Raw genomic sequence first — 19,876 nt, forward strand, 5'->3', positions numbered from 1 at the left:
AGGTCACATGTACCTCATCAGTGTTACTGTGGCAGTGCTGACGCCCATGATGGGGACACTGCCATCCTTCTGCCCGCCATGCCCGCATGGGCCTTGAGGGGATCGTCAATGCCAGCAAGCCTTGATGTGGCGTGCGTGTGTCAGGCAGGGAAAGGAGAGGGTGAACTTGAGCCATTGGGAAGACAGTAGTGCCATGACTTGGGCCGTAAGAGGGACAGCAGCAGGGGCAGCGAGAGAGTAGAGCACGTCCAGCGTGAGCTGGAGAGGGCAGGTTCCGCCAGGAGTAGGCCTGGGAGCAGGAGCTCGGCAGGGCGGGGGCAGGGGCGGCGGGGGGTGGCGCGTCTCAGCAGGGATGGGGGCAGGTGGAACTGGGCCAGCCCAAGAAGGGCACTGGCCCACAGGCCGAGCCACATCCAGGCCACTCGATCTGCCCCTCACAGCTGAGCCCCTTCTCTGGGAAGGAGGCCACCCTCTCCTCCCCTCCTTGTCGGCAGGTCCCAAGAGCTCTGGGAGTGGAATTGCTCTGAAAGCACTCACTTCAACCTGAATCGTGCAGTGCGATCGTCACAGCTGGACTGTTTCCACCTGGTAGCTGTGACCCCCGGGACGGCCTCCTTGTCGTTGTCCGTAGTTACCGGGGAAGAAAGGCTTTATTACCCTCCGCCATAATCGCACCATCTCCAGGGAGCCCCTGCGAATGTCATCCCACCTCCCCCACGGCGATTACTTTTTATCTCACCCACCTCTCCTCAGACACTGTAAAAGGGAGGCTTTCTCCTCACTCCAGCCCTTTGGTTTTTTCCTTTTTCTGATATTTGTGTGTGTGTGTGTGTCTTACCCTTTGGTTTTAGGGAATGTTTTAGATTTGGTGTTAAGAGGCCCTGGAGGAGGAAGAGAGGAGGAGGAGGAAGAGTGGAGGAAGAGGAGGAGGAGATGAGAGGGAGGAGGAGGAAGAGGAGGAGGAGAAAAAGAGGAGGAAGAGGAGGAGGAAGAGAGGAGGAGGAGGAAAGAGAGAGGAGGAGAAAAAGAACAGGAGAATGGGGAGGGAGAGAGGAGGATGAGGGGGAAGGACACAGATAGAAATAATTCAGCGACTTGGGGCCTTGGATCCTGGAAGAAGGGGGTGGGATCTACTGAAGGCAAGGGGTGACTGGGCAGCATGTGTCCCGGCATCCCCAGCTCTTTGCTCTGTGGACAGGATTTGTTAGACACATTTCTCTGCCTTTGTGCAGGTGCCACAGTCTCCTGTGTCCACCCCATGCCTGGTGCTGGACATGAAGGGTCCATGGGACAGATGGACCCTGCCCATGGGGCGCATACATGCCAGCAGGAGTTAGAGAACGTCGTGCGGTCATTTCCGGGCTGGCTGGGCCAGGGGGCCAGGGCAGGGTTTGGGTGAGCGGCATATCAGTCAGCCTCCTGTTTTGAAAGGATCCCTCTGTAGGCCGGGTGTGGTGGCTCACACCTGTATTCCCAGCACATTGGGAGGCCAAGGCGGGTAGATCACTTGAGGTCAGGAGTTCGAGACCAGCCTGGGCAACATAGTGAGATCCAGTCTCTACTAAAAATACACAAAACTAGCTGGGCGCAGTGGCGGGTGCTTGTAGTCCCAGCTGCTCTGGAGGCTGAGGCACGAGAGTCGATTGAACCCAGGAGCCGAGATTGCACCACTGCACTCCAGCCTGGGCGACAAAGTGAGACTCTGTCTCAAAAAAGAAAGGATCCCTCTGGCAAGAGACAAGGGACCCTCGGCCAAGGTGGGCCCTGGAGGGATGGAGAGGCACACGCAGGCTTGGGGATGCCTGGAGGTTGAGCTTGTGCTGACTGATAGTGGTGGCCAGTTTCTGCCCTCCCCACCGGGCAGGCTGAAGGTCAGGGTTGTCCTTGGTCCCGCGCGGCTGCACTGCCTGCAACAAGCAGCAGACTTGGAGGCGCCACCTGGCCTAGGGGATTCGCAGCCCTTCCTGTGTTCCAGAAAAGCCCTTCATGCCTCTCCTTGCTCAGGGTTCGTGCCACTTGGAGCTCCCACAGTCCTTGAGGGCTTCAGGTCTTCCCACCAGCAGGTCCCAGTCCTGGGAATGTCCCTCCTCCTGAGAGAAGGCCTCAGTCTGGCTGCAGCTGCCCAGGAGGTCCTCAGGTAGCATCTCTTGTGGGTTCCACCTTCGAGCCACAGCCTGGAGCCAGCTCCTCCTGCTCTCTCCTCCCCATCCCAGCTCAGAGCCACTCCTGGCTCTTCCCCTTCTGGGCATCATCCCCAACTCCAGCCAGCGGGACCCTCCTAAGGCAGGAATCAGACCACCTCACTCCCCTGCCGGCCACCTGCCAGTGGCTCCCTCACTCTCAGAACAAAATCTACTTCTTGATGTGACCCGCTGGGCCCCTGAGCTTCCGCAGCTCTGACGGCTCTGCTGGGCTCTGAAGCACGCTCACTGGAATGTCCTGTCCCAGTGATTTGCACGGCTCAAGTGTTGTCTCCTCGGGGCCTGGCCACTGTGTCCACCGTGGCGCCACTGCTCGCCCTGTCGTCATGGTACATTCTCTGCTTGAGGACCCATGTCCCTGTAGAATGTACGTTCCCCAAGGGCAGGGCTTTATCAGATCTTTTTACAGTGGTGGTCCTGGCGCTGGCACAGCTACTGGCACGGGATGGATGCTTTTGAGTGTAGATCCAGTGAGTACCCCACCCCGAACAGTCTTCGATGCATACCAGAGGGGAAGCCTCCTGGCATAGCTCTGCATGCCCAGGCTGGCCGAGGGTCATCCGCCTCTTCCTCTTCACTTCATTGAACCAGCAGGGTGTGGGCGGAGAAGCAGAAATTCACAGGCATGTTGTCAGTAAACCAGCCCTGTTACCTGTTACAGAGCCCAGGGCACCATACCGTTTTGCGTGTGCTGTCTTTAGTGAGTGAGCAAAACCTCAGCCCTGCATGTTAAAGCAAAGGCGGCAAACGACAGCCGCTCTCTCCCTGTCCAGCTGTCTGAAGTGGAAGTGGGGGCCAAGCCCGCTGGGTTCCCGCTGCCGGCAGCCCCGCCCTCCTCCTCTGGTAGCCGCTCTGCAGCTGTGCGGACCAGCTCTCTTAACACTTGTTAACCCCAGCCTCCAGTCCCTTCCTGCCCCCCACCCCGCCCCTTCCACATGTCTCTCCGGAGAGGGCCGCACAGAATTCACAGGACTCGTCTCCAACGGCTGCGCCAGCAATTCCCTAGCATTCCTCCTCTGCAGAGTGGATTTTGGTGCATGTCCAGCGTGATTTCAGACCCCTCACTGCGCAGCGGAGTGCCTGATCGCTCTGTGTGCACCACCACGGTGCACACTGAAAATATTGTGATCTGGGAGGAAGTAACCAGCACCTTGGGGGAATCACAGACCTTTCCTGCGAGGGCAAGGGCTTCCGGAATTGAACAGGCTGGGCCTGGAGGAGATCTTGAGGGGTGGACCTTCAGGCTTGTAAAGGCCTGGAGGGGGGTCACCCGAGGATCGAGGCCGAAGATGTTTACTGACGCCACAACTGTGAAATTCCACAGGGGTCAAAGACGGACCCGGGCGGGAGCGGTCTGGGCTGGATATCCGGAGAGTTCTGCTCTCCACGGGATGTTAGAATTTGAGGCAGTCTGCCTAAGGAGGCAGAGCAGAGAGGCATGTGATCACCCAGATCGTCTGAGAGCGGGACATTTTCCCGGAGCGGGGTGGAAGGAGTGTCAAGGTGACTGTGAGATGACAGACACGTAGGGGAGCCCCACAGAGGACCCCCAAGACACCCTCTCTGTTGCCATCAGCCTGAGTCATCCTCTATCTGAAAAACTTCCAGGACTGAAGTTCGAGTTGGAAGCACGCGTTCTCCTTGGTGAAGTCCGTCCTGTCCCAGGAGGGCTGCGCTAGGTCTCTCCTCTGGCTCCCCCTCCTCGGGTCCTCGTGGCTCTCTGTCGTGTGAAGCGGGGGGTCAGGAGCGCACAAATGTTTATACTCCACGTGAGTCACTTGCACAGATGACGGGTGATGTTTTCCTCGCCAAGGCTGATGGCACCGGGCCCCTTTGCCGTTCCAGCCTCAGTCACGCCTCCAGTCTGTTAGCATTTAGAGTTGCTGAACTTTCGCATTGGTCAGGGGCGCGGGCAGCTTGCTGACCTTTTCTGGGAGTCGTGGCGGACGGAGTGGAGCCGTCTGTCTCGTCACAGACAGGCGGGGCTGCGGCTGGGGATGGCCGCCGCCCACTCGCCCTCAGAATGGCCCTCAGCGGGGCTTCCTGACCCCTCAGCCCCGGTAGGAAGCTGGTGTGCACTGCAGGGAGAGGCGGCAGCTGGAAAAGTGTTAAGGCCACAGTGGTTTTTCCAGAGGCTCGTCTGGAATGCCGTGGCTGGATCTGAGCCTCCTGACATCCGAGGCCCCTCTTGGTGGGGAGAGCCAGAAACCCAAGATACTGCCGTCAGTTAAAGACTCGAAGTTCACATTTTAAAAAGTGCAAGGAGACACCCGGTTTTAGGTACGTTGGGGTGCAAGGTCTGAAGGCTGGAATCTGTGGCTCCCTTCTTTCAGCTCTGTCATCCCTCTTGTCTGGGTGCTGCCCACCTGGTAGAAAGGGGACCTCACCTTGCCACTCCACTAGCCTGCCAACACCACCAGGAAGGCGACCCTTCATCCTGGTGGCTCCAGTAAAAATCCCAGGGAAGGCTCTGATTGGATCAGAAGGGCCAAGTCCCCATCCCAGGATGAATCCCTATGGCCAGGGGCCCTGGAGCCTCTGTCCAGTCTGTGTCACATCCATATTTTCAGCCCAGCAATGGGATCTGCCTGATCTCCACCACTGGGGCTGAGCATAGAGAAGAGGAGGTTCCAGAGGAGAACAGGGGGCCCTTATGAGAAGAGGGGAGGGATGGTAAACACCCCAAAAATGAAGATATTCATGACAGACCCCCTCTGATGCTGAAATTTGTGTTGTCTTTGGAAGGTGCTGGGCTAAGCTGTGGAGTGCCTGCATCTGGCCTGGCTCTGCTGGGGATGAGCAGTGCCATGTGGCAGCCCCGTCCCTTCTGGGGCTTCAACACCTGTCCTGCCAGTGGAGGCAGTGGGGTGGGCTGCCTTGCAGCACGTTACCACCCCGACATGCTAGAATTCAGCAGTGCTAGAATTTCACTGGGTTTCCAAGCGGTGCTCTGGAGCTGTGCAGTCATGTACCTACTTGCCTGAACTGTGGAGTGAAGGGATTTGCTCATTCAAGTGGTCCCTGCTGCCGGCCCAATGCAGTGGGACCAAGTCGGGGGATGGGCTGTGGCAGAAGCAGTCTCACCTCAGTGGGAGGGAATGGGAAAGGGAAGCCTCAGGCCGAGACCTGCCCACTCGTCAGCCCTGGATGGGGACCCAGCTGGGCCATGAGGGTGAGGAAAGCCATGGCAGAGAAGGCTCTGGGGTGGAGGCAGCAGAGGTGCTGAGTGCAGAAATGCTGGTGGGCTCAGGAGTGTGGTGGAGGGAGAAGGGTCTGAGGGCAAGAGGGTTGGCCACTCAGCACAGAGCACAACATGAGCAAAGGTCCAGAGACAGGATGTGCAGGAGAGTCCCACTGAGGGCTTCGCGGTGGATCCTGAAGGATCACATACACTAGGACTCGGGCCAGGAGGTCTTGTGGGGAGGAACAAGCAGTGAGCTAAGATAAGAGTTGGGCTCCAGCAGGCCAGGTGCGGTGGCTCCCGCCTGTAATCCCAGCACTTTGGGAGGCCGAGGCGGGCAGATCACCTGAGGCCGAGAGTTCGAGACCAGCCTGGTCAATGTGATGAAACCTCGTCTCTATTAAAAATACAAAAATTAGCTAGGTGTGGTAGTGGGCGCCTATAGTCCCAGCTACTCAGGAGGCTGAGGCAGGAGAATTACTTGAACCTGGGAGGTGGAGGTTGCAGAGAGCTGAGATCACACCACTGCACTCCAGCCTGAGTGACAGAGCCAGACTCCATCTCAAAAAAAAAAAAAAAAAAAGAGTTGGGCTCCAGCCCAGTGCTGCCACCTGGGAGCCATCCACCTGCCACCTCACTCATTCACTCACCCTCAAACCCCACCTCCCTGGCCAGCAGCAAGCTCTCTGCCTCCACAGCACCCCTCCCATCCTGGCTTGTACCTGGACCACAGTGTTGGGGCGTCCCCATCAGAACAGCCTCCACGAACCAAGGGAGCACCCACTTTGTATAAGGCCATCAACTGGGGTGGTGCAGTTCTGGTTCCTGGCTCCGTTGTCGGCAGGCAGCCTAGAAAAGGGGCACGGCTATCATCCCATTTTACAGATGGGGAAGTTGAGGCACAGAGAGGTTCAGGGGCTCATCCAAGGCCACACAGTAAACAAGAGGCAGAGGGACACTAGGTATGGCCAGCAGAGACCTTCTTTGGCCAGTGCACAGGTGCTTTTTGGCCTTTTCATGGTCCCAAGTGGGTGGGTCCTATGATCATCACCATGATGCAGATGGGGAGACTGAGGCTCAGAGGGCTGAGACTGCTCACCAAGGCTCTGCCTGAGCCTGGAGGATGCATGTGGAGCTAAACAGCAGGAAGAGCAAGACAGGGGCTCTTCAGGGCCGGCCCAGCACAAAGATGTGGATTTATCTGTCCATCTATCCACCCACCCTTCATCCACCATTCATCTATCTGCCACCCACTCACTCCTTCTTACCCACCTGTTCACACCTATGTCCACCAGTTCACCCACCCACCTGACCATCCATACCTCCACCTGTCCATCCACCCCACCACCCACCCACCCATCCGCCCACCCACCCACCTGCCCCTATCCACCCATCTTTTCATCAGTCCACCCTTCCATCCACCCACCCATCCACCTGCCCTTCCATCCACCCACCTACCCATGCCACCCACCCTTCCATCTACCCACCCACCCATCCATCCACCCATCCACCCACCCTTCCATCAGTCTACCCTTCCATGCACCCACCCATCCACCCTACCATCTACCCACCTAGGCACCCACCCACCCTTCACCCACCCACCCATCCATCCACCCGTCCACCCACCCTTCCATCAGTCCACACTTCCATCCACCCACCCACCCACCCTTCCATCTACCCACCTGCCCACCCACCCACCCACCCTTCCATCTACCCACCCACCCACCCATCCATCCGCCCTTCCATCAGTCCACCCTTCCATCCACCCACCCACCCTTCCATCTACCCACCTACCCACCCACCCACACACCCACCCTTTCATCTACCCACCCACCTATCCATGCACCCATCCACCCACCCTTCCATCAGTCCACCCTTCCATCCACTCACCATCCACCTGCCCTTCCATCCACCCACCTGTCCACCCACCCACCCATCCATCCACCCATCCACCCACGCTTCCATCAGTCCACTCTTCCATCCACCCACCCTTCCATCCATCCATCCACCCACCTACCCACCTACCCATCCATCCACCCATCCAGCCATCCACCCACCCTTTCATCAGGCCACCCTTCCATCCACCCACCCATCCACCTGCCCACTCTTCCATCTATCCACCCACCCATTCATCCACCCACCCACCCACCTACCCACCCACCCATCCATCTGCCCTTCTGTCTGTCACCCATCCATCTGCCCTTCCATCCACTCATCCATTAACTCATCTACTGCCCATCCAGGCACCCTTCCATCTACCCATCCACCTGCCTACCACTATCCATCTACCAACCCACCCACCCATCCACCAATCCACTCATCCACCATCTGCCCACTCATCCACCATCTGCCCACCCATCCACCTGCCCGTCCAGCCACCCTTCCATCTACTCACCTATCACTATCCATCCACCAACCCACCATCCACCAATCCTCTCATCTACCATCCGCCCACCCATCCATCCACCCATCCACCAACCTACACACCTGTCTGTCCACCCATCCACCCACCCTTTCATCCATTTATTCACCCATCCATCCATCTACCCACCCAGCTATCCACCCATCCATTCATCCGTCCATCCGTTCATCCACCCATCCATTAACTCACCTATACATCCACGCACCCTTTCATCCACCCATCCACCTATCCATCTACCCACCCATCTATCCACCCATCCATCCACTCATCCATTCACCCCTCCCTCCACCCACTTACCCATCCATTCACCCGCCCATTTACCCATCCACTCACCGATTCACCCATCTACCCACCCATTCATCTGTCTATCTACCGTTTGCCCATCCACCCACTCATTTACCCATCCATCTACCTGTCCATTCATTTGACTGCTCATCCACCCATCCAGTTGACAAGCATGACTGAGCTCCAACCATATGTTAGGCATGGCGGTGAGCACCAGAACATTACAGGAGACAGAACCTTGCCTGCTCGGCTTCCATGGGGTTCCCCTTTCAGCCATGGGGAGACAGGCTGGAAACAGATGATGTGGCAGATGGAGTGAGGAGCAGGGAAGACAAAAATGGCCCAGGTGGGGATCAGGGAGGTGGGGTGGCTGATGAGCCGTAGACCGAGGCTCTCCCAGCGGGACCTGGCAGGCACCGCCCCTTCATCTGTAGAGTGGGGTTCCCTCTCTTGCAGGGCGGCTGGAGGACTAGTGGGGTAAATCCACATTCTTGCCTGGGGCCGGCCTTGAAAAGCCCCTGTCTTGCTCTTCCTGCTGTTCAGCTCCATGTCCATCCTCCCAGCTCAGGCAGAGCCTTGGCGAGCTGTCTCAGCCCTCTGAGCCTCAGTCTCCCCATCTGTGTGATGGTCACGATCAGAGGCCCACCCACCTGGGACCGGGGAGAGGTCGACCAGCACCCGTGTGTTGGCTGAGGAAGGCCTCCTTTGGCCAAGCCTGGTGTCCCCCTGCCTCTGTTTACTGTATAACTTTGGGCCAGTGGCCGAACTTCTCTGTGCCTTCATTTCCCCATCTGTAAGATGGGATGGTAGCAGTGCCCCATCAGAGACTGCCTGCCACAAGGTGGGCCAGGAGCCAAGACTGCACAGACTGGGTGCTCCCTCGGTCCGTGAAGACTGTTCTGATGGAGACGCCCCAGCATTGTCATCTGGACATGGAGAGCCAGGATGGGAGGGGTGCTGTGGAGGCAGAGAGCTTGCTGCTGGTCAGGGAGGTGGGGTCTGAACACCCCCTTGTCTTCTGGGCCTTTGTTTGGATGGTGGGGCTTCCTCTTGTTGGCCTTGAGAAGTGGCTGGAGTTTGGCAAGTCCGGGATGGGGGCGCTGTGCATAATGTCTTCCTGTCCATTGGCCGCAGTCAGAGCCCCACACATCCTGGACTCCTGGTGGCATTGGTCAGAGGCTGGGATTAGGGCAGGACATCACAGCCCGGCCTTGAGGGCACTGGGCTTATGGTGACCCCTGAGGAGCAGGTGAGGGGTGGCCACACGTATCCATCATCCACCCACCCATGCCTCCAGCCTCCTTCCTCATCTAGAACACCCCCATGCTCCTGAGATGACAGCTTGCAAACCACTGCACCTCTAACCCCCTGTTTTCTGGAAGGTTTGAGCAAGGCTCAGGAAAGGGGAGGCCACGCAGCTTGCCCTGGCTTCATGGTGGGGTTGGTGGGGGACCTGCAGGATGGGGGTGGACGGGCCTCAGCTTTCTGCTCCCAGCTCTGTGGGCTTCACCTCTCAACCTGCTGAGCCTGAGAGCAGGGAGTGTCTCCTGCCACCTCACTGGGTCCTTGGGGTCATTGGTCGTGGTCCTTTCCAATTGATCCTCGATTCCGAAACCTGCCTGCCTGCCCTCCCTGAACTCCCGGTGTGACTTGGGCAGCCCGCCACCCTCTCTGAGCCTTGGCGTCCCTGGCCGTCACTTGGCTGTCTGGGGGTGCCAGCCCTGGGTACAGTGGCCTCCTGCTAGGCACTCCCAGATGCTCTGTCTCCTGTCATTCTGTCCCCACCCAGCAGGCACAGACAGGCTGAAGCCAAGGACAGACAGGCAGGGAATGGCTCCAGATCAGGAGGCTGGGAGGAAGGGGAAGGCCAGGGCCTCCTTCGCAGGGGTCAGAGGGCATCCATGCAGGACGCTGTGTGAGTTGGGCCAACAGGCGCAACTCACGGCGAGCCCTGTCTGCCTCAGTAGCGCGGGGCTCTTGGAGGAGGCTTGAGGGTGGGTGGGTGGGGAGGCCGCGAGGTTAGGGTGGCTCTGACCCTGCCTGGCCTGCCCAGCACGCCTGCCCTCCCAGCACAGGGCGGGAGTGGCGGGTTCCTGTTTGAAATGATTCGTGAAGATGTTGGAGAAAATCAGCATGTCAAGCAGGAGGGAGACACAGACAGCTGCACCCTGGCGGCCCCTGAGCTGCAGTCTCTGTCTCCCTGTCTCTGAGTCTCTGTCCCTCTCTCCCTGGGTCTCTGTCTCCCTGTCTCTGGGTCTCTGTCCTTCTGTCTTTGCATCTCTGTCTCTGAGTCTCTGTCCCTCTGTTTCTGCATCTCTGTCCCTCTGTCTCTGGGTCTCTGTCCCTCTGTCTCTGGATCTCTGTCTCCCTATCTCTGAGTCTCTGTCCCTTTGTCTCTGGGTCTCTGTCTCCTTGTCTCTGGGTCTCTGTCCCTCTGTCTCTGGATCTCTGTCTCCCTGTCCCTGGATCTCTGTCTCCCTGTCCCTGGGTCTCTGTCTCCCTGTCTCTGGGTCTGTGTCTCCCTGTCTCTGTCATGAGACAGGGTCATGAGAGAAGGTATCAGTGTGGTTGGAGTCTCTGTCTCCCTGTCTCTGGGTCTGTGTCTCCCTATCTCTGAGTCTCTGTGTCTTCATCTCTGGGTCTCTGTCTCCGTCTCTGGGTCTCTGTCTCCCTCTCCCTGGGTCTGTGTCTCCCTGTCTCTGAGTCTCTGGGTCTCTGAGTCTCTGTGCCTCCATATCTGGGTCTCTGTCTCCCTGTCTCTGTGTCTCTGTCTCTGGGTCTCTGTCTCTTTGTCTCTGTTGCCATCTCTGTGTCTCTGTCCCTCTGTTTCTGGGTCTCTGTCTCCCCATCTCTGTCCCTCTGTCCCAGTCTCTGGGTCTGTCAGTGGCTGAGTGTCCTGGCCTGCTGGGACACTGCGGTGGGGCCCTGCACCCGCTCCTGGCTCTCCCACTTGTCCATCCAGAAGCCATTATCTTTCCTCCACTCCCACGGGAGCCAAGGGAGGCAGAGAACAGCAGGTGCCTTGGAAGGGGCGGCCCCTTATCAGGAGGGATAACCCCAGGAAGTAGCCTTGGGCAGTCTGGGGGAGAAGCAGGGCGGCCGGGCCTCAGGGGCCTCTGAGCTGTCCCACGGGAAAGCTTGCTGACGTGAGCGTGGGGGCCGGAGCGTTTGAGGGCCAGCATGAGGTGCCGGAACCCAGCAACTCCATCCTGTGGGCTGGGAGCAGTTCCCAGTGCTGTGAAACATTGTGGTCACCATGGCAACAGTACTGGGGGAGCTGCCTTTGTGGAATGGGTGGGACCCTGCCTCTTTGCACCTTTTACCCTCGAGGCACGTGCCCAAGAGCCAGTGAGGACTGCAGCTGCTGGTGGCCAGGGGTGGGGGTGGCGGGGGAGCAGGGGCACGCTGGGCCGCGGTGTTCCCATCTTGGAGAGGGATACTGAGCCTGTGATCTCCCCGGCTGCTGGGGATTTGTGAGGCTGCATGTGAAGACCTGTGCCTGCTTGGCAAGGTCAGAGTGGGTGGGAAGGGTCATGAGAGAAGGTGTCAGTGTGGTTGGAGAGTAGGGTGGTGGCTGTGAGGCTGAGAGGTTGGTGGTGGGATTCCAGGCCCCCCACAGCTCTGGCACTCGAGCCCCACACCACCTCCCACACTGCCTGGTCGCTGTCACCCCCACCCCTGCCACCATTTCTGCTTCCCTTCCTTTCACTGGCTCTCTGTTCCTCTCTCCCTGTATTTCTCTCCTTGTCTCTCTGGGTCTCTGTCTCCCTGTCTCTGGGTCTCTGTCTCTCCCTCTCCCTCTCTCCCTGGGTCTCTGTCTCCCTCTCTCCCTGGGTCTCTGTCTCCCTCTCCGTCTCTCTAGGTCTCTGTCTCCCTCTCTCCCTGGGTCTCCGTCTCCCTGTCTCTAGGTCTCTGTCTTCCTCTCTCCCTGGGTGTCTCTTTCTCTCCCTCTTGCTGGGTCTCTCTTTCCCTCTCCCTCTGGATCTTTCTCTCCATCTCCCTCTCTCTGGGTCTCTGTCTCCCTGTCTCCCTGTCTCTAGGTATCTGTCTTCCTCTCTCTCTGGGTTTTTTTCTCCTCTTGCTGGGCCTCCGTCTCTCCCTCTCCCTTTCTCTGGGTCTCTGTCTCCCTCTCTCCCTGGGTCTCTGTCTCCCTCTCTCTGGGTCTCTGTCCCCTCTCTCTGGGTCTCTGTCTGTCCCCCTGTCCCCCTCTCTCTGGGTGCCTGTCTCCTTCTCTCTGGGTCTCTGTCTCCTTCTCTCTGGGTCTCTGTCTACCTTTCTCTGCGTCCCTGTTCCCCTCTGGGTCTCTGTACCCTCTAAGTCTCTGTCCCTTTATCTCTGAATCTGTTTTTCTCTCTCTGGGTATCTGTCCACTTCTCTCTGGGTCCTGTTTTTCTTTCTGTGGGTCCCGGTTCTTCTCTGGGTCTCTGTCCCCTCCAAGTCTCTGTCACTCCCTCTCCGAGTCTCTGTTTCCCTCTCTTGCTGGATCTCAGACAAGGCTCTCAGGATGGTCTTGGTCCAGTTGCCAGCCTGGGACTGGCTGGGAGAGAGGCTAGGGATTGGGCAGTGGCTTCTCAGCCGGCCCTGACATCCCCTGCTGTCCCCTGAAGTACAGCCTCTTCCCCACCCATGCACTGAGACCCTGGGGCGGCATCGCATCAGCCGGGGTGGGAGCCAACCAGCTGTGCTGTGCTGCTGTGCTCCTTCGAGCCACATGGACAATAAAACCAAAATTGGCTTTGAAAGTGGAAGTGCTCTCCTCTTTGAGGGGAAGTGAGGGACTGCGCGCGTCAGAACCGCCTATGAGGGGCAATGCCGGCAGGCTCCGTTCTGGCCCGAGCGCTGGGCTCCGCGTGGGGGTGGGAAAGGATTTTACAAAACCCCAAAGAAATGTTTCCATGAAATTCTTTCTTGTTCTTGCCTTTTTTTTTTCTTTTTTGGACATTCCAATGAAAAGAACCGTTCTGGGGCTTTGGATCGCTTCTCATGGGTTGGGAAGCCGACCATGGAGATGAGGCCAGCCCGGGGCCGGAGGAGGGGCGCCTGCCCTGACAGGTGCGTGCCCCTCACTCTTGTCCCCCTAGGCAGCCCCCACCTCCCTCTGCTCCTGATCCTCCCACGAGGCTTCATCCCTAGGGTGCCTGGCCGCAACCTCTGCAACTCTGAGCTTCTTGTGACCTCCCCCACGAGGCCATCGTGCCTTGGGCTGGGTTCCCCCAGAGCAGACTCTCAGGCGGGGGTTCGAGGGCCCCACGAAAGAACAGCGTGGGGAGGGAAGGAGCCTCCACAGGGTGTGTCAGTAGTGAGCAGGTGGTCCCAGGGCAACCCTTGGAGATCTCGGGAATCCCATAACAGGTGGTCCACCTGGGGGAGTTTACCCCACCCAGGCTCCCTGGATGTTAGCCCTAGCACATCCCTGCACTGGGACATCTGAGAGGAGCAGGGGTGGTGTTGCCAGGGCAGACCTGGGCGTGTCCTTGGGTCCAGCACAGGCCTGGGCCTGGCTAGGGTGCCCGATGACATTGCTGGGGGGATACAGCGGCAAGCGGGTGTCAGAATGGCCCCTAGCCCGGGCCAGGCCTGTAGCGGGGGCGTGTGGCCACTCAGAGGCCAGATTCGGGCAGAGGGTGCAGCCAGGGCGGGCAGCAATGGCCTCTTGAGACGGCCCTGGCCGGGGCTGCTGACGCATTGGCTCCGATGACTCACGTGCGGGTGACCGTCACTCGAGTGGCCGTCTGGAGACTCGGACCGGCTCAGGGCCACCGCCTTCCTGGGGGCCTGTGGCCCCGCCGTGCCGGCCGCCCCCTGTCTGGACCAGCCTGAGTAATGGGTCCTTCCCCTCCTCCCAGTGGCCGGCTGGAGAGGACCTTAGTCATCAGCCCTGGCCCCGGCCCTCCCTCCTCCGCCTGCCCACCTCCGCCCAGGCTGCGTCTCGCTTCTCCGTCCAGGCTGGGGGACTCCTGCCCCTCCTGGCCTCCTCCCTCCTTGAGTTCCCCAGGAGGGGCTGCAGTGGGGTGGGTTTGGCTTCACAGGGGCGGCAGTGAGGGTGACGTCAGGGGCCTCAGGGACAGTTGTCCCATCCCTAAGATGAGAGGAAGGAAACAGCCATGTGGAACGCGTCAGGCATCACCAGGGCATGAGGAGGAGGCCTGGGGAGGACAAGCTGCTTCCTCCCCTCTTTGGTCCAGCGTGGGCCCTGTGCCCTGTAACCAGCAGTGGATGGGCCTCACCCTGCTTTCTGGGCCTGGGGTGTCCTAAATTCCAGATGGGAGCATCCAGATTCTCCGAGTGTGTAGTCGTCACGTGCTAGTGGCAGCCTGGGTCCCAGGGCTCTGCGTTTGCTCATCTCATCCTCCAGCGGCCCTGGGGCTGGGGAGCTGGATGGTCATTTGCCCCTGCTTTGTAGCTGAGGCCTGGGTGGTTGAGTGACTGCTGAGTTCCCAGCTAACCAGAGCTGGCTTGGCCCAGGCTGCTGGCCCCTGATGTCTCCTCTGAGATGCCCTGCCAGTCAGCTGAACTGATCCTGCCTTCTGGGTTCCGGGCACCCTCTCTGCTTGCTGGGGAACCCACAGATCCCATGTTTGGAACACTGGCCCACCTCCCTGGTTTCCTGTTCCTCAGTCATCAGAGTAGCAGGGTGCAGGGCAGTAGCTCCTCTCCTCCCCAGAGGGAGGTCCTCTCTGTCCAACTTCTCAGTTCTCCAGATATGTTCTGTGCACTCATGGGCAGATGCATATGTGTGGCACTTTGAGCCCAAATAGCATCCCACTGTGTGCACTCTGCCTCTTCCTTCCTCCTGCAGCCTTGACGTCATCCCCTGCATGCAACATCTTCCCCAGGATGCGTCAGCCTCCTCACCCATCTATAGGGCAGCCCTCACTCAGAAGGTGCTGTGATTCCACGAATCTCCTTTAAGGGTGGTTAGCTTATTTCTCGTCTGTGGCCCCTAGAGATTGTATTTGGGTAAGTTTCAGAAATAGAGTTCTTGGGTAAAGGACATGAGCCTTTAGAGTGTTGCTGAGTCTACGCAGCTGCCTTCCTGGGGGTCACCTTGCTTCATAAGCCCCCCGAGAGTGTGCTTCCCTGACTGCAAGCGAGGCTGACTCTTACGTCCTTCTAGCCAGCTCTGCTTGCTTTCCTGGGAACCATTAGCCCACATTCTTTGTGCATCTTTCGATCTCACTCTGTCACCCAGGCTGGAGTGCAGTGGCACAAATATGGCTCACTGCAGCCTCCACCTCCCGAACTCAAGTGATCCTCTCACCTCAGCCTCCCAAGTAGCTGGGAACACAGGCTCATGCCAGCATGCCTGGCTAATTTGTATTGATTTCTTGATGCTCTTTATATATGGAAGAGCATGGTAAATATGCTCCTAAGGACTGAGTGGCCCCGTGGTGAACTTGTCCCAGTGCAACGTGTTTCTTCTGATGAAAATGTACACATGCACACCTGCCTCCAAGGGCTTTACAGGAGGCACGAGAAGTCCTCCCATCCCTCCCCGCAAATCTCCTTGAACTTCTAAGGAAAAACCAGACCAAAATCAAAATGGCAAAGGCTGGCAAGGCCCATGCATACTTCTGGGAGACAAAGTGTCCACAGAAAGGCCGGCAGGGGTCACCCAGAGCCCGAATGCACAACCCTTGCCACAGCTGCAACACAAAGCTGATTCTGGGTGATCTGACCCCTTTTGGTCCCCATTGCCTGGACCGCGTGCCCATGAGGACGGGGCCTACTTCGTCTCATTTACGCAGCATCCCTGCATGCACGGGCAGGGAAGAGGAGTTTGCAAAGCCAGTGAGGCAAACTGGGGACAAGGAGAGACCTTGAGGGTCCTCAGAGGCACATGCAGGATGCGGCTTTGGCCCCAGGCAGCCTGGACACCCGTCGCAGGGTGTCGGTGAGAGGGCATGCCATTCGTGGGAAGCAATGAGACCCTGCCCTGGAGATGTCCAGGCAGGTGCTGGACCCCTGTGGGGGGCTGGATAGGGGAGAGCGGCCCATGAGCCTGCGACATGCTCCTCACAAGCCTCGGATCTGGATCTGTCATGGGTCTAGGGAAAAAAGAGCCAAGGCTTGGCTCAGGGCAGCAGCCTGGTCAAGTGGGATCGGGGCCGATGTGTGGGGAGGGGAGGAAGGGAGGAGGGGAGGTAAGCGTCCCTTCCACTTGGCAGGGGAAAGGCCACGGGGACAAGCCAGAGTCTCAGGGTGCACCTGGACCCCTTTCCTTCCCTGCCCTCCTCAGCTTTCAAAAGGCTGCACCCCCACCCTCCCAGGCAAACACCAGGTCTGGGCTCCAGCACCCCCAGCACCGCAGCATTGCTGGCCAGCCCAGATGACCGTGGCATTGGGCTCTGAGTAGCATATGTCCTGCTTCCCCAGGGACTCAAAGGCTTTCCACTGAGCACAGGCCCCACACTGGGTCCTTCGTGCTATGTCCCCACCCTCTAGGACATGCAGTGCCTCGCAGGCAGGGCTGGGGCTTGGGCAACTTCTCTGCCTGTGGTGCCTTGCAGGGCTGTGGTCAGCGCCTGGCCCTGAAGCCCCTCTCCCCGGCAGTTTGTCTTGATCACTCACCCTTTCCCAAGGGTCTCTGGAAGGGTGGTCTGAAGGGGAGGTCAGGGACCTCCGGTGGCAGCTGCTATGTTGACTGAGTGCCCACTGTGTGCCCTGTGTTTGACGTTGGCTCTTTAATGCCCACTGTGGTTTTGGGGCTGGCTGGCAGTGGGGCCAAGGAGCCTTCCGTCTCCTCCCGCTTTCTTGGAAAGATCAGTGCCCGCATTCCTGGCCTTTGCTTACAGGCAGGCGTGGGTCCCAGGAATGGGAGAGCAAATTCCAGAGGGCAGAGGCCACCAGGACAGAGCAGGGTGCCTCAGCCCGGTGGGGGTGGGGGTCTTAGAGGGGACTGATCCTGGAGGTGGCACCAGGGTCCACCCCCTGTTGTGTTCTGAGGAAGAAGTGGTGTGTTAACGGCTCCTAAGCTATTAATTCATTGATCCGTTCAACAGTTTCCCCAAATGAAATAGCAAAGGGGTGGTGGGGCTGGAGAAGAGGGGATGAGGGGGCAGTAGGGGCAGTGGGGGCTGGACCACAGAGGGCTCGTATACTCTGGGGTGCAGGGGGCTGTGGCGGGGCTTGCAGGGGACTTGAGAAGGCTCCCGTGTGTCCTTTGGTTTTTTTATTGAAGTGAAATTCACGTGACATAAAACTGTCTGAAAGTGGACAATTCAGTGGCATTTAGTAGATTCACAGTGGTATGCAAACACCACCTCTGTCTAGTTCCAGAACATTCTCATCCCTCCAAAAGGAGACCCCACCCCATCAGCAGTCACTCCCCCCTCCCCTCCCCCAGCCCTTGGTGGCACCCATCTGCTTCCTGTCTCTGCGGATTTGCCTGTTCTGGGCATTTCACGTCAGTGGAGTCATACACAGTGCGGCCTTTTGTGTCTGGCTTCTTGCACTGAGTGTTGTGTTCAAGGTAATAGTGTGTGTGTGAACCTCTGGGCCATGTCCCCACCTCTGCTTTCCCCGCAGCACGGCCGACAAGAACGGGGCCCTCAAGTGCACCTTCTCGGCACCCAGCCACAGCACCAGCCTCCTGCAGGGCCTGGCCACCCTCCGCGCTCAGGGCCAGCTCCTCGATGTTGTGCTGACTATTAACAGAGAGGCCTTTCCTGCACACAAGGTCGTCCTGGCTGCCTGCAGCGACTACTTCAGGTAAGTGCTGGCCCCAGGCAGCTGGAAGGGGCGGCTGCCTGTTGGGACAGGGACAGGGCAGATGGCACCCACTTTCTAAAGGGGGCCTGTCTCAGCGCTACCCAGGGACAGCTTCGAGGGAGAACGGCTGGTACCGGCTGCTCTTTTTTTTTTTTTGAGATGGAGTCTCGCGCTGTTGCCCAGGCTGGAGTGCAGTGGCACAATCTCGGCTCACTGCAACCTCCGCCTCCTGGGTTCAAGCAGTTCTCCTGCCTCAGCCTCCCGAGTAGCTGGGAGTACAGGCACCCGCCACCATGCCCAGCTAATTTTTTTTGTATTTTTTAGTAGAGACGGGGTTTCACCATGTTGGCCAGGCTGGTATTGAACTCCTGACTTCGTGATCTGCCTGCCTTGGCCTCCCAAAGTGCTGAGATTATAGGCGTGAGCCACCGCTCCGGGCCCCTTCTGATTTTAGAGAGAGGTTTAATGTCCAGTAAACCTGCAGGTTTCCCGGAGTTTGCATCTTACTCTCTTTGGGCAGAACATGCCTGGAGGGACAGAGATGGCCTGTGGGCACCCACTCACTTCTACCCTGCATGCAGGGTGGCAGGGCTTGGCCAGGTTTTTGATCTGTTTTGTTTTTTTTTTTTTTGAGACAAAGTCTCGCTGTGTCGCCCAGGCTGGAGTGCAGTAGCACAATCTTGGCTCATTGCAACCTCCGCCTCCCGGGTTCAAGCGATTCTCCTGCCTCAGCCTCCCGAGTAGCTGGGACTACAGGCGCATGCCACCACACCTGGCTAATTTTTTGTATTTTTAGTAGAGACGGGGTTTCACCATGTTAGCCAGGATGGTCTTGATTTCCTGACCTCATGAGCCACCTGCCTCAGCCTCCCAAAGTGCTGGGATTACAGGCGTGAGCCACTGCGCCCAGCCCAATCTGTCTTTACTTGACGCCTGCTGTATGCCAGGCACTATTCTAGTCCTTGGGATGCAGCAGGGATGACAGTGAAATGGGCACAAGCCCCTGCCCTCAGGGCATCCCCTCAGGACACCTGGAGCAGGACAGCTGGGGGACTGGAGGGGCATCGAGGGCCGCAGAGACCCTGTGTCTGCCAACACCATGTCCTGGGCTCTGTCTGAGGCCCAGATGAGTTCTCCTCCCTGTCTCCCTGAGCTGTGGGCACTTCCCCAACGTGACAGAAGAGGCCATGGCGGGCACTGTCTGTCTGTCCCTGTGCCGTGGCCGGGCCGGAAGTGAGAGCACCACAGAGCAGGGCTGTGGGGTGGGGGGTGCTTTCTCCTCGCCAGCTGGGGGCTGTTGCAGGGCTGAGTGGTCTCCCTCCCTGGGTGACCAGCAGGTGAGCCTCCTTCCTGCCAGGTGGTGACCCCGCCAGAGAGAGCTGGGCCGCCCTGGGGAGGCTCCCAGGCCCCAGCCCAGGTGTGCCGCTCAGCCACACATTCCCCGAGGCCCGGGCCGCCTGCCCCATGGGCTCAATGAGGCTGTTGTGGGGGCCGCAGCAGCCGAGCCAACTGGGGCGCCGCTTCTATTTTTATTCTGGATTTGGGGACGGGTGGGCCAGCCCAGCCAGCAATGCCCTTTAAAGGCTCCCCTGTGCTGGCACTGCAGCCAGCGAGACCTTAAAAGGCAAAGCTCCCTCCTGTCGCCTGCGACCGCCTCTGCCTTCATCGCATCATGCCCGAGGGCCAGCGTGGACCCGTGGGGACAAGCGGGGCAGGGTCTGGGGAGCTGGCAGCGTACTTACTGCTCCTGGACCGCTCAGAGATGCTGAAGAGCTGCTTGTTGGGCAGATGTCAGTGGGCGGCCCCGAGATAGTGCCCTGGCAGCTGTCCTTGCCCCTGTAGCCCTGAGCCTGGCTCACAGGAGGTGCAAGACTAGGGGACAGGCCTCTGTGGGTCAAATGCACAAGGGATGTTCCCTCCTCCTCGGACGGCCATCAGGGGAGGTGCACTGGCAGGAGTGAGAGTTACTATGCCATGCCATTGCGCCTCCTGGAAGGAACCGCCCATTCCCCTGGAGCTGGGGTGCTCTCCCCTCTTCTGCTGGGGAACACCCTAAACGCTGTAGGGGAACTGTGA

At 58.8% G+C, this 19,876-nt stretch overlaps 1 protein-coding gene across 6 annotated transcripts in view, besides 6 other annotated features; it reads left to right on the forward strand.

Moving 5' to 3' along the window:
* KLHL26 (kelch like family member 26) overlaps positions 1–19,876 on the forward strand; it is a 34,694-nt gene that overhangs the window by 9,616 nt on the left and 5,202 nt on the right. For 5 of the 6 annotated variants that reach the window (NM_018316.3, NM_001345981.2, NM_001345984.2 and 2 more), the window contains exon 2: positions 17,618–17,800. In NM_018316.3, the coding sequence (NP_060786.1) occupies positions 17,618–17,800 (183 nt within the window). Of the gene's footprint in view, positions 1–13,043; positions 13,142–17,617; positions 17,801–19,876 lie in introns of all 6 variants that reach the window. The other variant, NM_001345982.2, reaches the window with a different exon arrangement.
* Positions 1,451–2,261: an enhancer, noted in NCBI's record as "H3K4me1 hESC enhancer chr19:18758904-18759714 (GRCh37/hg19 assembly coordinates)". NCBI's record gives its function as "activates a minimal SCP1, AML or CMV promoter by ChIP-STARR-seq in primed H9 embryonic stem cells {active_cell/tissue: H9 hESC(primed)}" and the evidence as "EXISTENCE:reporter gene assay evidence [ECO:0000049][PMID:30033119]".
* Positions 2,262–3,072: an enhancer, noted in NCBI's record as "H3K4me1 hESC enhancer chr19:18759715-18760525 (GRCh37/hg19 assembly coordinates)". NCBI's record gives its function as "activates a minimal SCP1, AML or CMV promoter by ChIP-STARR-seq in naive H9 embryonic stem cells {active_cell/tissue: H9 hESC(naive)}" and the evidence as "EXISTENCE:reporter gene assay evidence [ECO:0000049][PMID:30033119]".
* Positions 4,743–5,330: an enhancer, noted in NCBI's record as "H3K4me1 hESC enhancer chr19:18762196-18762783 (GRCh37/hg19 assembly coordinates)". NCBI's record gives its function as "activates a minimal SCP1, AML or CMV promoter by ChIP-STARR-seq in primed H9 embryonic stem cells {active_cell/tissue: H9 hESC(primed)}" and the evidence as "EXISTENCE:reporter gene assay evidence [ECO:0000049][PMID:30033119]".
* Positions 10,657–11,188: an enhancer, noted in NCBI's record as "H3K4me1 hESC enhancer chr19:18768110-18768641 (GRCh37/hg19 assembly coordinates)". NCBI's record gives its function as "activates a minimal SCP1, AML or CMV promoter by ChIP-STARR-seq in naive H9 embryonic stem cells {active_cell/tissue: H9 hESC(naive)}" and the evidence as "EXISTENCE:reporter gene assay evidence [ECO:0000049][PMID:30033119]".
* Positions 11,189–11,719: an enhancer, noted in NCBI's record as "H3K4me1 hESC enhancer chr19:18768642-18769172 (GRCh37/hg19 assembly coordinates)". NCBI's record gives its function as "activates a minimal SCP1, AML or CMV promoter by ChIP-STARR-seq in naive H9 embryonic stem cells {active_cell/tissue: H9 hESC(naive)}" and the evidence as "EXISTENCE:reporter gene assay evidence [ECO:0000049][PMID:30033119]".
* Positions 14,226–14,762: an enhancer, noted in NCBI's record as "H3K4me1 hESC enhancer chr19:18771679-18772215 (GRCh37/hg19 assembly coordinates)". NCBI's record gives its function as "activates a minimal SCP1, AML or CMV promoter by ChIP-STARR-seq in primed H9 embryonic stem cells {active_cell/tissue: H9 hESC(primed)}" and the evidence as "EXISTENCE:reporter gene assay evidence [ECO:0000049][PMID:30033119]".

This window comes from Homo sapiens, chromosome 19 (assembly GCF_000001405.40).
Source record: "Homo sapiens chromosome 19, GRCh38.p14 Primary Assembly".
Classification (NCBI taxonomy): Eukaryota; Metazoa; Chordata; class Mammalia; order Primates; family Hominidae; genus Homo; species Homo sapiens.